This window comes from Homo sapiens, chromosome 8 (assembly GCF_000001405.40).
Source record: "Homo sapiens chromosome 8, GRCh38.p14 Primary Assembly".
NCBI classification, from domain to species: domain Eukaryota; kingdom Metazoa; phylum Chordata; class Mammalia; order Primates; family Hominidae; genus Homo; species Homo sapiens.
In genome coordinates, this window is record NC_000008.11 from 38062636 (window position 1) to 38078935 (window position 16300).

The 16300-nt window shown below is 42.3% G+C and overlaps 3 annotated features.

Annotated features, from left to right (window-relative positions):
* Positions 7206–7933: an enhancer, noted in NCBI's record as "H3K27ac hESC enhancer chr8:37927359-37928086 (GRCh37/hg19 assembly coordinates)". NCBI's record gives its function as "activates a minimal SCP1, AML or CMV promoter by ChIP-STARR-seq in naive H9 embryonic stem cells {active_cell/tissue: H9 hESC(naive)}" and the evidence as "EXISTENCE:reporter gene assay evidence [ECO:0000049][PMID:30033119]".
* Positions 9387–10112: an enhancer, noted in NCBI's record as "H3K27ac-H3K4me1 hESC enhancer chr8:37929540-37930265 (GRCh37/hg19 assembly coordinates)". NCBI's record gives its function as "activates a minimal SCP1, AML or CMV promoter by ChIP-STARR-seq in naive H9 embryonic stem cells {active_cell/tissue: H9 hESC(naive)}" and the evidence as "EXISTENCE:reporter gene assay evidence [ECO:0000049][PMID:30033119]".
* Positions 15496–15790: a silencer, noted in NCBI's record as "tiled region #11218; K562 Repressive non-DNase unmatched - State 7:EnhWF". NCBI's record gives its function as "represses a minimal TATA promoter and a strong SV40 promoter by Sharpr-MPRA in K562 cells {active_cell/tissue: K562}" and the evidence as "EXISTENCE:reporter gene assay evidence [ECO:0000049][PMID:27701403]".

Here is a 16300-nt window from a genome sequence, read left to right on the forward strand (position 1 = left end):
GGAAGCTGGGGAGGGAGGATCACTTTAGCTCAGGAGATCGAGGCTGCAGTGAGTTATGATTGCACTACTGCACTGCAGCCTGAGCAACAGAACAAGACCTTGTCTCTTAAAAAAAAAAAAACGCGGCCAGACGAGGTGGCTCATGCCTGTAATCCCAGCACTTTGGGAAGCCAAGGTGGGCAGATCACTTGAGGTCAAGAGTCTGAAACCAGCCTGCCCAACATGGCAAAACCCCGTCTGTACTAAAAATACAAAACTTAGCCAGGCGTGGTGGTGCACGCATGTAATCCCAACTACTCGGGAGGCTGAGGCACGAGAATCGCTTGAACCTGGGAGGCGGAGGTTGCAGTGAGCCGAGATCGCACCACTGCACTCCAGCCTGGGTGACAGAGTGAGACACTGACTCACAGAAAAAAAAAAAAATCTCACTCTGACATCCCACCAGAGGTCTTGCCAGCCTACAGGTCCATTTCCCTTCTTGGTCTTACGTCTCAGGGTCTAAGAGACAGGTAAATAAATCATTAAAAAATGATGTATCTGATAGTTCAGGGGCCACAGTAAGATAATTTTTCAGGCTGAGCATGGTGGCTCATGCCTGTAATCCAGCATTTTGGAAGGCCAAGATGAGGATCACTTGAGGCCAGGAGTTTGAGACCAGCCTGGGCAACATGGCAAGACCCCCATCTCTATGAAAAATAGAGATAAAAAGAAGAAATAAAAAAGTGTGTCCCTTTCCCACTGAGCAAAAGCATCCTCCTGAGGACCCCAGGTGTGTTTTGAGTGTCAATTCTGGCCGGGTGCTGTGGTGTGGCCATGATCGACAACACAGTCCTTGTCCACAAGGAAGTTAAAATCTTAAGGAAAGCGAGACTGTTGTGGTCCAGCTGAACATGCCTGTGCATTGAGACCTAAAGCTCATAGAGATGCTCACTCTAGGGGACCATCACAGTTTGGCCCCTGCCACCCTCCAACATCACCAAAACCACTGTTGTTGCAATTGGGGAACACTCTGACAACTGTTGGACAGATACCACATGCCAAGACCCAGAAGAGACAAATGCATGTTTTTAGCTATGTTGTGTATTCTCAAAGAGCTTACAACCTGATCAGGAGACGAGAAGTATTCCAAGTAGTAAATGGTCATTGGAAATACAAAGCAATACTTATGTGCTTGTCCATTGAATGGAGGGGAGGCTGTGCATGTCCCAAGTTAGAGGAATCTGAGGTTTGAGAAGCCTTCACGAAGGAGGTGTGGCTTGATAGGACTGGTAGGATTCCTGCGTCATGAATGGCGTAAGGTACAGGAGCCCCCAGGAATAGGTCAACTGGAGAAATGTGGATGCTGTTAGGCTTTCTGTGCACAAATGAAGAGGCTGGCCTAGCAGTGGAGATGGGAATGGGCTGTATTGAGAAGAAAGACTGACACCCTTGGGTGAGGTAGAGGGAGGAGGGATGTGTTGAAGGTTTCTGGTCCAGGAGATCCAGGCAAGAGGTCAGAAAGGAATTGCTGGTTTAGGAATTATGCAGAGTGAACAGCAAGGAGACCAAAGATGGAACTGTGGGGAATGTTCCCAGTGAGCATGAGTGGAGTGTGGGGAGCTGAACTGCTGGTGATTTTCCAACCTCCAGGCTGCTATTGACACAGCTGTGGGCATCGCTCCAACTCCCAGGTAGCCAGACAGGTATCGACCAGGCCGCCTTTTTCCTGGCGCCTTTCAGTGCGACATCTATCAAGATGACTCAAGGAAAAGCCTAAGGACATGTGGCCAATCAAGAAGGCTCATACTTGGCTGGGCACGGTGGTTCACGCCTGTAATCCCAGCACTTTGGGAGGCTGAGGCAGGCGGATCACCTGAGGTCAGGAGTTGCAGACCAGCCTGACCAACATGGAGAAACCCCATCTCTACTAAAAATACAAAATTAGCTGGGCGTGGTGGCGCATGCCTGTAATCCCAGCCACTTGGGAGGCTGAGGCAGGAGAATCGCTTGAACCCCGGAGGCGGAGTTTGCAGTGAGCCGAGATCACGCTGTTTGCACTCCAGCCTGGGCAACAAGAATGAAACTCCATCTCAAAAAAAGAAAAAAAAGAAGGCTCATAGTCTTGCCACCTAAAAACCAGTACTTCCAGAAGGGTGGGATTCAGCAAAAGACTCCAAGTGGTCTTTTCCAGGTAAATCCAACCTCTGGTTTTTTTGTTTTGTTTTGTTTTTTTGAGACGGAGTCTCACTGTCACGCAGGCTGGAGTGCAGTGCCACAATCCCGGCTCACTACAACCTCTGCTGCCCTGGTTCAAACAATTCTCCTGTCTCAGCCTCTCAAGTACCTGGGACTACAGGCATGTGCCACCACGCCCAGCTAGTTTTTCTACTTTTAGTAGAGTCAGGGTTTTGCCATGTTGACCTGGCTGGTCTCGAACTCCCAGCTTCAAGTGATCACTGCCCTCATCAGCCTCCCAAAGTGCTGGGATTAAAGGCATGAGCCACAGCTCGGGCCCCAACTGAACTCTGATTTAACAAGCATTTACTAAGCGTCTAGTAAATGCTAGATCTTGAGGCAATACAAGAGAATTTTTAAACAAATGCCTGAGAAAATGTGACATAATCCAAGGAGGCATGATTAGGTACAAATAAATGGAGTGATAAATGTGACAGGTCAGCAAGACAGGGACGATCAGTGACAGTGGGAAGAATATGTAGACTATAGAAGAAATTGAAGTTGGGCGCAGTGATTCATGCCTGTAATCCCAGCATTTTGGGAGGCTGAGGTGGAGGTGATCTCTTGAGGCCAGGGGTTCAAGACCAGCCTGCCCAACATGGTGAAACCCTGTCTCTACTAAAAATACAAAAATTAGTTGAGCATGGTGGTGGGCGCCTGTAGTCCCAGCTACTCGGGAGGCTGAGGCAGGAGAATCTCTTGAACCCAGGAGGTAAAGGTTTCAGTGAGCCAGGATTGCACCACTGCACCCCAGCCTGGGCGACAGAGTGAGACTCTGTTTAAGAAAAAAGAAAAAGGACTGGGTGCAGTGGCTCACGCCTGTAATCCCAGCACCTTGGGAGGCCAAGGCAGGCGGATCACCTGAGGTCGGGAGTTCGATACCAGCCTGACTAACATGGAGAAACCCCGTCTCTACTGAAAATACAAAATTAGCTGGACGTGGTGGCGCATTCCTGTAATCCCAGCTACTCGGGAGGCTGAGGCAGAAGAATTGCTTGAACCCAGGAAATGGAGGTTGCAGTGAGCTGAGATCGTGCCACTGCATTCCAGCCTGGGTAACAGAGTCAAAAAAAGGAGAAGGAATTGCATTCACAAAAGTGTGTCTAGAATGAATCCAGCATGTGTAAGATACTAGGATATTTTTAGTCAGTTGTGTGTTGCTGGGTTGGGTAGCACGTAGTAGGTTTAGATAGCATGGGATTTAATTGTTGGAACCAAAAAAAAAAAGCATGAATGGAATGTCAAAAGAAAAAAAAAGATGGAATGTCTTCTGCCTGTCTGGAGCTTCACTAAAATCTTATTTAGGATCTCCATAATTTATGAGGTTAGTATTTTTATTCCTGTTTTACACATGACCATGGCTAGTGAGGGCCAGAATTAGAATTCCAACTCCTGTATTTTCAGCCCCAAAACCTATCAGGTTTTGTTTTGTTTTGTTTTAGAGACGGGGATCTTGCCATGTTGCCCAGGCTGGTCTTGGATTCCCGGCCTCAAGTGATCTTCCTGCCTCGGCCTCCCAAAGTGTTGCGATTACAGGCATAAGCCACCATGCGCAGCCTCCAAAACCTATGCTCTTAGTGCCACACTGTGAATAGAACTGAAGTCTGGGCTGTTCTGACTCTGAGCTATAGGCAACTGGGATACTGGTTGGAGATGTCAGAACAGGCAGTGACAGGTGAGTGTCAAGGTAAAGCAGGTAGAGGAGAGACCTGGAGCCAGGAAGTCATTCAGGTGTTTGGTGAGTTGCTTAGAATTCATGGGTTTGGGGAAGTGAGGTAGTGAAAACAAAGGAGTATAAGGTTGATAGCCTTTTCTCATTTACTCAAGGGCTATTTGTTGAGTGCCTACTGTGTGCCAGGCACTGTTTTAAGCACTAGGGGTAGAGTGGATAACACAAAGCCCTGCCTTCAAGGAGCAGACCTTCCAATGATGCAGCAGCCATGTGTGCACTCTGCTTTCATTGCAGACATCACAAACCTGACCTCCTCGAAATAAGGTGCAGAATTGAGCATGACCAACACTTCCTCTCCGCAAGCAGAGGACATGTGCTCCTTGCTGTGGGACAATCAGTCCTGCATGGAGGAACAAGCACCCCAGTAACAGCATAGACGGAGATAACTGAATAAAGCCCTGTTTTTTCGTCAGCAGGAAAAGGCAAGGAACCCGCTTTCTGCCGGTTAACCGGGGGGAAAGTGCAACCCTTAAGGATTAGGTTTTGCTGAGTTTAACACACTCCAGAGAGTATGCTGCAGGGAGAGTAGGGAAGAGAAGGGCTCTTGGGCCACAGCAAAGTGAAGGTGAATCCCTCCAACCCCCAGCTGCAAATCAGAGGCCGTTTCCTATGCAAAACAGCATAGGAAGACGTTTTTCTAAGGAGGAGCCTTAAATCCGTCCTTGTTTGTTCCTTGGTCTTGGGTTCTGCGCGGAATGATGTTGCAAGCCTCGTCTTTGTGCTGCCGCCTGCTGGTAGAGTTCATTAAAGCAAGGAAGGCTGGGTACGTCTAGGAAATGGTTATTGCACTCCGTTAGGTGAAGAAAAGTGAGGATGCCATATGTATTCAAGACTTAAGCACATTTCTCCACATTTTTTCTATCGAGATCATGCAACTGTATCCTCATTGTCTGAAAGGAATACTTAGGAAGAAGTTTTCCAGACACAGTGGGCAGGATTGTGTTGTGGGGCAGAACCAGACATAGTATAGAATCTGCCTGCGATGCCCAGACTTGGTTTGGGACAAGCTAGTTATAGCCCTGCTTCCTCCCTTCGACCAAGCGCAGCCATGCACATGGTCATACTGCCCTTTGATCCTCGACCCATCTCTCTGGCCAGCAGCCGCCAGCTGACTCTATCTGCCAAGGAATTCCAGCCAGGAACACTGTTTACTCTTGTCTGGCATTTCTCAACCCGAGCTTCTACCATGAGGTTGCATTTGAACATTTTCCTAGGTACTGCACTACCTTCCAAAAACAGTCAGGACTCTGGGCTGTTCAAAACTTCTTCCTTAGCCTCTATAGGATAGGTTTCAGATTTGCATAGGAATCCTGGATATTCAGGTTATCCTCCAACTCCTGGGACAGTTTCAGCTTTTTTTTTTTTTTTTTTTTTTTTGACACGGAGTTCCGCTCTTGTCTCCCAGGCTGGAGTGCAATGGCACAATCTCGGCTCACTGCAACCTCCGCCTCCCAGGTTCAAGCAATTCTCCTGCCTCAGCCTCCCAAATAGCTGGGATTACAGGTGCCTGCCACCACACCTGGCTAATTTTCGCATTTTTAGTAGAGATGAGGTTTCACCATGTCGGCCAGGCTGGCCTCGAACTCCAGACCTCAGGTGATCCGCCCTCCTCGGCCTCCTAAAGTGTTGGGATTACAGGCGTGAGCCACCGTGCCTGGCCTAGTTTCAGCTTCTGAGCCTTTCAGGAAGCAACCAAAAAACCCATTCACAGCTCCCCAGCCTCTTCACTCCAATGAGGGACATCTACAGCATAGGAGAAAGCTCTGATGACCTACACAGCGACACTGATACCCAAGTAGTCTTTTACGTTTTTAAATGTGATTTTTAATTGTTTTATTATAAATTGACAAATTACAATTGTATACATTTATGAGGTACAAAGTGATGTTATGACATATGTATACAGTGCAGACTGATTAAATCAAGCTGTTTAACATATCAATCACCTCAAATGCTTACTTTTTTTTTCTTTTTTGAGACAAGCTCTTGCTCTGTCACCCAGGCGGGAGTGCAATGATGTGAGCAGAGTTCATTGTAGCCTCACCTCCTTGGATCAAACAATCCTCCTGCCTCAGCCTCCCATGTAGCTGGGGCCACAGGCATAAACCACTGCACTTGTCTACTTTTTTTTATTTTTTTGTAGAGACAGGGTCTTGCCTTGTTGCCCAGGCTTGCATAATCATTTTTTTGTGGTGAGAACATTTGAATTTTATTCTCGGCAATTTTGTGTATTTTTCTCTTTTTTTTTCTTTAAATTTCTTTTTTTTTTTTTTTTTTTGAGACGGAGTCTGGCTCTGTTGCCCAGGCTGGAGTGCAGTGGCGTGATCTCAGCTCACTGCTAGCTCCGCCTGCCAGGTTCACACCATTCTCCTGCCTCAGCCTCCCAAGTAGCTGGGACTACAAGTGCCCGCCACCTTGCCCGGCTAATTTTTTGTATTTTTAGTAGAGATGGGGTTTCACCATGGTCTCGATCTCCTGACCTCATGATCCACCCACCTTGGCCTCCCAAAGTGCTGGGATTACAGGCGTGAGCCACTGCACCTGGCCCTTTTTTTTTTTTTTTTTTTTTCTTTGAGACGAAGTTTTGCTCTAGTCGCCCAGGCTGGAGTGCAATGGTGGGATCTTGGCTCACTGCAACCTCTGCCTCCTGGGTTCAAGCGATTCTCCTGCCCCAGCCTCCCGAGTAGCTGGGATTACAGGCACCCACCACCACACCCAGCTAATTTTTGTATTTTTAGTAGAGATGGGGTTTCACCATGTTGGCCAGGCTGGTCTCAAACTCCTGACCTAAGTTGATCTGCCTGCCTCAGCCTCCCAAAGTGCTGGGATTACAGGCATGAGCCACCATGCCCAGCCACTTTAAATTTCTTTAAAAAAAATTTTTTTTTTTACTCTTAATCCCATGACAGATTACTCTTGGCAATTTTGAAATACATAATATACTATTATTAACTATAGGACATCCAAATACTCCTTAAGCCTGATGAACTTTGCCACAGTCTTATTTAATTCACTAACAGATTATGTTAGTAATGCTGGTCTGATTTGGGATAAATAGCATGACTTCCTCTCTATTTTCCTCCATAGATGGCATCTATCTATCTGTCTTGTTCCATTTTGTGTTGCTATAACAGAATACCTGAAGCTGGTTTATCTGTAAAGAAAAGAGGTTTATTTGGCTCATGATTCTGGTGGTTGGAAAGTCCAAGGGCATGGCACAAGCATCTGCTTGACTTCTGGTAAGGACTCATGCTGTGTCACAACAAGGCAGAGAAGAAGAAGAGGAAGTGGGTATGTGCAAGAAAGGGGCCAAACACCTTACTTTAAAACAATATGAGCTCGAGGGAACTAATCTATTCCTGTGTGAACTAACCCAGTCTCCAGAGAAAGACATTACTCTATCCTAGCCCTGTGTGGGGGTGAGTGCCCCTAGTCCCAGCTACTCGGGAGGCTGAGGTGGGAAAATTGCTTGGGCTCAGCTTGGAATTTGAGGCCAGCTTGGGCAACAGAGTAAGACTCTATCTCAAAAATAAATTTTAAAATAGGCCAGGCACAGCGACTCATGCCTGTAGTCCCAGCACTTTGAGAGACTGAGGCGGGAGGATCACTTGAGCTCAGGAATTCCAGACCAGCCTGGGCAACATAGTGAGACTTTGTCTCTACTAAAAATAAAAAATAAAAAATTAGCCAGGTACAATGGTGTGCACCTGTAGTCCCAACTACTCAGCAGACTGAGGATAACTTGAGCAACTACTCAGAGGCAGGAGGATCACTTGAGCCAGGTAGATGGAGGCTGCAGTGAGCTATGATTGCACCACTGTACTCCAGTCTGGGCAACAAAGCGAGACCCTGTCTCAAAAATAAATAAATGAAAAAACACATGTTAAAAGAAAAAAAAGGGGCCGGGCACAGTGGCTCATGCCTGTAATCCCAGCACTTTGGGAGGCCGAGGTGGGTGGATCACCTGAGGTCAGGAGTTTGAGACCAGCCTGGGCAACATGGTGAAACCTCGTCTCTACTAAAATTACAAATATTAGCCAGGCACGGTGGTGGGTGTCTGTAATCCAGCTACTCGGGAGGCTGAGGCAGGAGAATCGCTTGAGCCCAGGAGGTGGAGGTTGCAGTGATTGTGCCATTGCACAATGGCAAGATTGTGCCATTGCACTCCAGCCTGAGTGACACAGAGAGACTGTCTCAAAAAAAAAAAAAAAGGACATTAATCTACCTTAACATAATCACATCTTAAAGGCACCACCTCCCAACACCATTATATTGGCAATGAACTTTCAACATGAGTTTCGATATGGACAAACCACACCCAAACCATAGCACCGTTTAAACTAGATTAGCATTTTGCATTACAAAGGGCCAACATACTGCCCAGGGGCAAAAGATTATCTTGTGTGGGAACCTTGTAGTGTGTATACCATGAGGCCTACTACCTGTGTCTCTTCAGTCATAGGTTTGGAGATCTCAAATCATAGAGGAACAAGATGGCATCACTATTCTTTGCTATAGTCAAGATATGATTGGAAATGCCATTCAATCATGAGCAGATAGTCCTCCTGTTGACAAGATATCCTATTTACCACCTCCAACCAAAACCTTCAGCCACGCCTCTTCTCCCTCCTTAAGAATTCAGTTCTTCCTTCCTTACATTGAACCTGTCAGCTTCTTTCAGGTTCCTGCAGGGCTGAGGATGGGCCACCACAAGCAGGAGGACATTGTCAGCCCAAGGGAGTGCTGTTGATCCTGACCTGTCAGACAGCTGGCCAGCCATGCACAGGGCTCACACAGGCTAATATGTGAACAAATACAGCTGCTTCAGCGGCCAGATGGGTATTGGGATTCAGTGGGTGGATGACAAAGGGCCCTGGCTCTTGGGCCTGAATCAAGAAAACTTAAATCCTTGAGTCAGTAACTGCATTGTTGTAACCGAGCGAGTTATAGAGAAACGCCACACTCTGAGACGAATTCAGGAGTCCTTTATTAGCCGGTGACTGAGAGACGGCTAGTGCTCAAAATTCTCTCAGCCCCGAAGAAGGGGCTAGATTTTCTTTTATACTTTGGTTTAGAAAGGGGAGGGGGAGCCTAGCTGAAGCAATCTTACAGAAGTAAAACAGGCAAAAAAGTTAAAAAGACAAATGGTTACGGGAAAACAAACAGTTCCAGGTGCAGGGGCTTTAAATCCATCACAAGGTGATAGATGTGGAGGCTTTGGGTACTATCAACCAGACACAAATGCGGGGGGCTTAGAGTACTATCAACCGGGCAAATTCCTGGGAACTGCGGGTATAGCTTGCCACGGTATCTTATCAGTTAATTGCATTCTTGGATGTGCTGGGAGTCAGCTTGCACAAGTTAAGTCATTGAGGAAGGGGGTGGGTAAGAGGCTGCAAGGGGCTGCAAGTGAAGGAGCCAAAATGGAGTTTGTCTGGCTCTCTCAGCTAAGGGAGAGTAAATTCAGGTTAAAACAAGGTAGGGTATCACAGTATTAAAGTTTTTGGTTCAATCGGAACCTTCCTTTTGTCAAGGAAGAGAGAAAGGAGGTCATGACATTGTCTCTTCTCAGGAGTCCATCTTGGCCAGGCGCGGTGGCTCACGCCTGTAATCCCAGCACTTCGGAGGCCAAGGCAGGTAGATTGCTTGAGATCAGGAGTTCAAGACCAGCCTGGCCAACATGGTGAAACCCTATCTCTACTAAAAATACAAACATAGCTGGGCGTGGTGGTGCACACCTGTAATCCCAGCCTCTAGAGGCTGAGGCACAAAAATCACTTGAACCCAGGAGGCGGAGATTGCTGTGAGCTGAGATGGCGCCACTGCACTCCAGCTTGGGTAACAGAGCGAGACTTTGTGTCAAACAAACAAACAAAAAAAGAGTCCATCTCGTCCCCTCCATGAGGCAGGCAAGCCCACTCTTAGATTTCCCCTACTTCAGGTCTCTCATGACTGCTGTCCTCTTGACCTCTCCCAGATATTTGGGTTTCTTGTACTACACAGCTTCATTCATACTCTAAGTGCCAGCACCATGATTCATCGCCTGCAGGTTCCAGCAGAAAAACCCACCTACCACATCCTGGTCAGAACTTGAGGTGACTGGGGTAAGGGAAAAAGTTCATCTCAGGCCAGGCGCGGTGGCTCATGCCTGTAATCTCAGCACTTTGGGAGGCTGAGGTGGGTGGATCACGAGGTCAAGAGATCGAGACCATCCTGGCCAACATGGTGAAACCTTGTCTCTACTAAAACTACAAAAATTAGCCGGGCATGGTGGCGCGCACCTGTAGTCCCAGCTACTTGGGAGGCTGAAGTAGGAGAATCACTTAAACCCGGGAGGTGGAGGTTGCAGTGAGCCTAGATCATGCCACTGCACTCCACCCTGGACAACAAGAGCGAAACTCCGTCTCAAGAAAGAAGAAAAAAAAGTTCATCTCACCCTTTCCCTGCCCCACTTTCTGGCCTCCAGCATTCTGCAGGGACTCTCACAAGAGACATTCGCTATGGCCTAACCCATGGTGAGTCTTCCTCATAGCTCCCAGAGGAACTTCCATCTTCTCAGTTGCACATGCACCCCCTCGGCACTTAAAATGACCCTGAGCTTCCAGCACTTGTTCCTCTTCCAGCTCATCCTCCCGCTCTGTCATCTCACTACATCAGCTGTTCTCAAACCTTCATGTGCATCAGAATCACATGGAGGGCTGACTAGAACACAGATTGTGAGGCCTGACCCCCAGAGATTCTAATTCAGTAGGTCTGGCATGAAGCCTGAGAATTTGCATTTCTGATCAGTTCCCAGGTGGTGCTAATGTGGTTTAGTCTAGGATCATGCTTGGACAACTGCCCAGCTGCATAATTTCAGGATGTTAGCTCTCCTAGTCCAGTGATTGCACCAAGCCTACATTCACAAGGAGTGGAGAACCAGCCATTCAGTGCTCCTGTGTCCCTGGGTAAACAGGCAGCTTGTTTCCAAACTCCTCAGGCTCCAGAGGAGCATGTTAACGGAAAAACCAAACTCTGTAAAAAAAAATATATATATATATATACACACACACATATATAAATATATATATATGTGTATATATACACATATAAAATATATAAATATATAGTATATATAAATATAAAATATATAAATAGATATAGTATATATAAATATAAAATATATAGATATAGTATATGTATAAATATAAAATATATAAATAGATATAGTATATATAAATATAAAATATATAAATAGATATATATAAATATAAAATATATAGCTATACTATATATATTTAAATATAAAATATACAAATATACTATATATTAAATATAAAATATATAGTATATATACTATATATTTAAATATAAAATATATAGTATACATACTATATATTTAAATATAAAATATATAGTATACATACTATATTTTTAAATATAAAATATATAGTATACATACTATATTTTAAATATAAAATATATAGTATACATACTATATTTTAAATATAAAATATATAGTATACATACTATATTTTAAATATAAAATATATAGTATATATACTATATATTAAATATAAAATATATAGTATATATACTATATATTTAAACATAAAATATATAGTATATATACTATATATTTAAACATAAAATATATAGTATATATACTATATATTAAATATAAAATATATAGTATATATACTATATATTTAAATATAAAATATATAGTATATATAGCATATATATTTAAATATAAAATATATAAATATACATACTATATATTTAAATATAAAATATATAAATATATATTTAAACATAATATTTAATTGTTTATATTAATTAATGTATTAATATAATTAATATATTAATTATATTAACTAATATATTAATTATTTATAATTATATAAAATATTTCATATATATTATATATTTATATTTAAATTTATATTATATTATATTATATTATAATATATTTATATATATTATATATAATTATATATTTAAATATATATACTATATATTTATATATTATATATATTATATATAATATATAAATATATAGTATATATATTTAAATATATATACTATATATTTATATATAGTATATATAAATATAGAGTACATATACGATATATTTATATATAGTATATATAAATATACAGTATATGTACTCTATATTTATATAGTATGTATATATTTATATATAGTAATATATACTATATATTTATATAGAGTATATATACTATACTATATATAGTATACTATATAGTATATATATAGTATATATAGTAGATAAATATATATAGTATATATATACTATATATATATTTATCTACTATATATAGTATATATATACTATATATACTATATATATACTATATATACTATATATATACCTATATACTATATATACTATATATACTATATATACTATATATATACTATATATATATAGTAGATATATATAGTATATATAGTATATATAGTATATATAGTATATATAGTATATAAATATATAGTGTATATATACTATATATTTAAATATATATTTAATGTATTTAAATATACTATATTTATATATATTTAATGTATTTAAATATACTATATTTATATATATTTAATGTATTTAAATATACTATATTTATATATATTTAATGTATTTAAATATACTATATTTATATATATTTAATGTATTTAAATATACTGTATTTATATATATTTAATGTATTTAAATATACTGTATTTATATATATTTATATATAATATATAAATATATAGTATAAATATTTAAATATATATTTAATGTATTTAAATATATATTTAATATATATTTTTTAAAAATATAGCCCGGGCGCGGTGGCTCACGCCTGTAATCCCAGCACTTTGGGAGGCCGAGGTGGGTGGATCACGAGGTCAGGAGATCAAGACCATCCTGGCTAACACGGTGAAACCCCGTCTCTACAAAAAATACAAAAAATTAGTCGGGCGTTGTGGCGGGCGCCTGTAGTCCCAGTTACTCGGGAGGCTGAGGCAGGAGAATGACGTGAACCAGGGAGGCGGAGCTTGCAGTGAGCTGAGATCGCACCACTGCACTCCAGCCTGGGCGACAGAGCAAGACTCTGTCTCAAAAAAAAAAAAAAAAAAAAAAAAAAATATATATATATATATATATATATATATATATATATATATTTAAATTAATATATATTTAAATATATATTTAAATTATATTATTATAAATAATATATATTAATTTAAATATATATTTAAATATATATTTAAATTATAATATATACTAAATTATTATATATTTAAATTATAATATATATTTAAATATAAATAATTTAATATATATTTAAATATAAATAATTAAATATATATTTAAATTATAATATATATATTTTTTAATGGAGTCTTGCTCTGTCACCCAGGCTGGAGTACAGTGGTGCGATCTTGGCTCACTGCAACCTCCGCCTCCCAAGTTCAAGCGATTCTCTTGCCTCAGCCTCCCAAATAGCTGGGATTACAGGCTCCCGCCACCATGCCCAGCTAAATTTTGTATTTTTAGTAGAGACAGGGTTTCACTATGTTGGCCAGGCTAGTCTCGAACTCCTGACCTCAGTCTATCCACCCGCCTCGGCCTCCCAAAGTGCTAGGATTACAAGTGTGAGCCACTGAGCCCAGCTGTAAAATATTTTAAAGAGGCTGATTCTGAGCCAATAGGAGTGACCATAGCCCTGGGGAAAACACAGACCGAAGGAGCCTTGATGAGCCTTTGGTTTCATACATTGTAGGGAGGCAGGAGTTATAGGCAAAGACGTATATCAATGCATGAAAGGTACACATTGGTTCAGCCCTAAAAGGCAGGATGTCTTGAAGTGGGGACTTATAGGTATAAGTAGATTCAGTGATTCTTGAATTTGCAGTTGGTTAAAGGAGTAAGGCTCTGTCGAAAACTTGGAATCAGCAGAAAGGAATGTTTAAGATAAGGATGCTATGTAGCAAGATTGCTGGCCTGCAGGCTAGACTTTACTCCTGCTTGGGATAGCCTTGGGTCTTATTTATAATGTGGTATCTTATTGCAACAAAGAATCTGTTTGTCAGTCAGCTTGCTAGGGAATGTTTGTCCGTCTTATGATCTCTATTTAATATGCTGGTCAGTTGTGCCTAAACTCCAAAAGGGAGGGGGCATAACAAGGCGTGTTCGACCTCCCTTCCTGTCATGGCTGGGAGTTCAGTTTTCTTTTCTATTCTTTATTTTATTTATTATTATTATTATTATTATTATTATTTTGAGATGGAGTCTTGCTCTGTTGCCCAGGCTGGAGTGCAATGGCAAGATCTCGGCTCACTGCAACCTCTGCCTCCCAGGTTCAAGTGATTCTCGTGCCTCAGCCTCCCAAGTAGCTGGGATTACAGGCACACACCACCATGTGGAGCTAAATTTTGTATTTTTAGTAGAGACAAGGTTTCGCCATGTTGGCCAGGGTGGTCTCGAACTCCTGACTTCAGGTGATCCACCCACCTCAGCCTCCCAAAATGCTGGCCAGGGAGTTCAGTTTTTTTATTTTATTTTATTTTATTTATTTTATTTTATTATTTTATTTTATTTTATTTTATTTTATTTCTTTGAGATGGAGTTTCACTCGTTGCCCAGGCTGGAGTGCAGTGGCACAATCTCGGCTCACCACAACCTCCGCCTCCCTAGTTCAAGCAATTCTCCTGCTTCAGCCTCCCGAGTAGCTGGGATTACAGGTGCCCGCCACCACACCCAGCTAATTTTGTATTTTTATTAGAGACAGGGTTTCTCCATGTTGGTCAGGCTGGTCTTGAGGGAGTTCAGTTTTTAATGTTCATCTAGGCTCCCCTTGGCCAAGAAGGGTATTGACCATTCAGTCAGTGGGGGTGGGGGTGGGGTAGAATGTAGAATTTTATTTTATTTATTATTTTTTTTTTTTTTTGAGACAGAGTTTCACTCTTGTTGCCTAGGCTGGAGTGCAGTGGCACAATCTCGGCTCACCGCAATCTCCGCCTCCCAGGTTCAAGCGATTCTCCTGCCTCAGCCTCCCGAATAGCTGAGATTACAGATGCACACCACCACGACCGGCTAATTTTGTATTTTTAGTAGAGACAGGGTTTCTCCATGTTGGTCAGGCTGGTCTGAACTCCTGGCCTCAGGTGATCTGTCTGCCTTGGCCTCCCAAAGTGCTGGAATTACAGGCGTGAGCCACTGTGCCCGGCCCAGAATTTTATGTTTATTTTACAAGCTCCTTGCTGAACCCATCTGGGCTGCTTCCCCAGTGGGGTTGGTGGCATCTTTGGCACTAAAATGTGACAAGCCTCAGGCTGGGCACGGTGGCTGACACCTGTAATCCTAGCATTTTGGAAGGCCAAGGTGAGCAAATTGCCTGAGCTCAGGAGTTTGACACCAGCCTGGGCAACATGATGAAACCCCATCTCTGCTAAAATAAAAAAAATTAGCTGGGCTTGTTGGCGCGTGCCTGTAGTCCCAGCTACTCAGGAGGCTGAGGCATGAGAATTGCTTGAATCTGGGAGGTGGAGGTTGCAATGAGCCTAGATCATGCCACTGCACTCCAGCCTGGGTGACAGAGCGAGACTCTGTCTGAAAAATAAATAAATAAATAAAAATAAAGGAACAAGCCTCATTCACAGGAGAGAATGCAGTTTCATTTATTCAACAAATATTTACTGAGTGCCTTATATGTGCCAGGCATGGTTCTAGGTGCCTACGATACATCAGTAAACAAAACAGACACAAATCTCTACCCACAGCCAGGCGCGGTGACTCACGCCTGTAGTCCCAGCACTTTGTGAGGCTGAGGAGGGTGGATCACCTGAGGTCAGTAGTTCAAGACCAGCCTGAACAACACTGTGAAACCCCATCTTTACTACAAATACAAAAATTAGCTGGGCATGGCAGCGTGTGCCTGTAATCCCAGCTACTCAGGAGGCTGAGGCAGGAGAATGGCTTGAACCCAGGAGGCAGAGGTTGCATGCAATGAGTTGAGATAAGCCACCGCACCCTGGCCTGGGTGACAGAGCGAGGCTCTGTCTAAAAATAAATAAATAAATAAAAGCCAGGCCTGGTGGTGCACGCCTGTAGTCCCAGCTACTCCAGAGGCTGAGGCAGAAGAATTGCTTGAACCCTGGAGACGGAGGTTTCAGTGAGCCAAGATCGCGCCGCTGCACTCCAACCTGGCTGACAGAGTGAGACTCCATCTCAAAATATATATACCCACCTTTTATGGAGCTCACCTTTTCCTAATAATAATAAGAAGAAAACTCTTTTTACTGTGTTTGATGGGACTCAGATATCTGGTTACTGGAAGTAGAAGTAACCAGGAATGCTTAGTT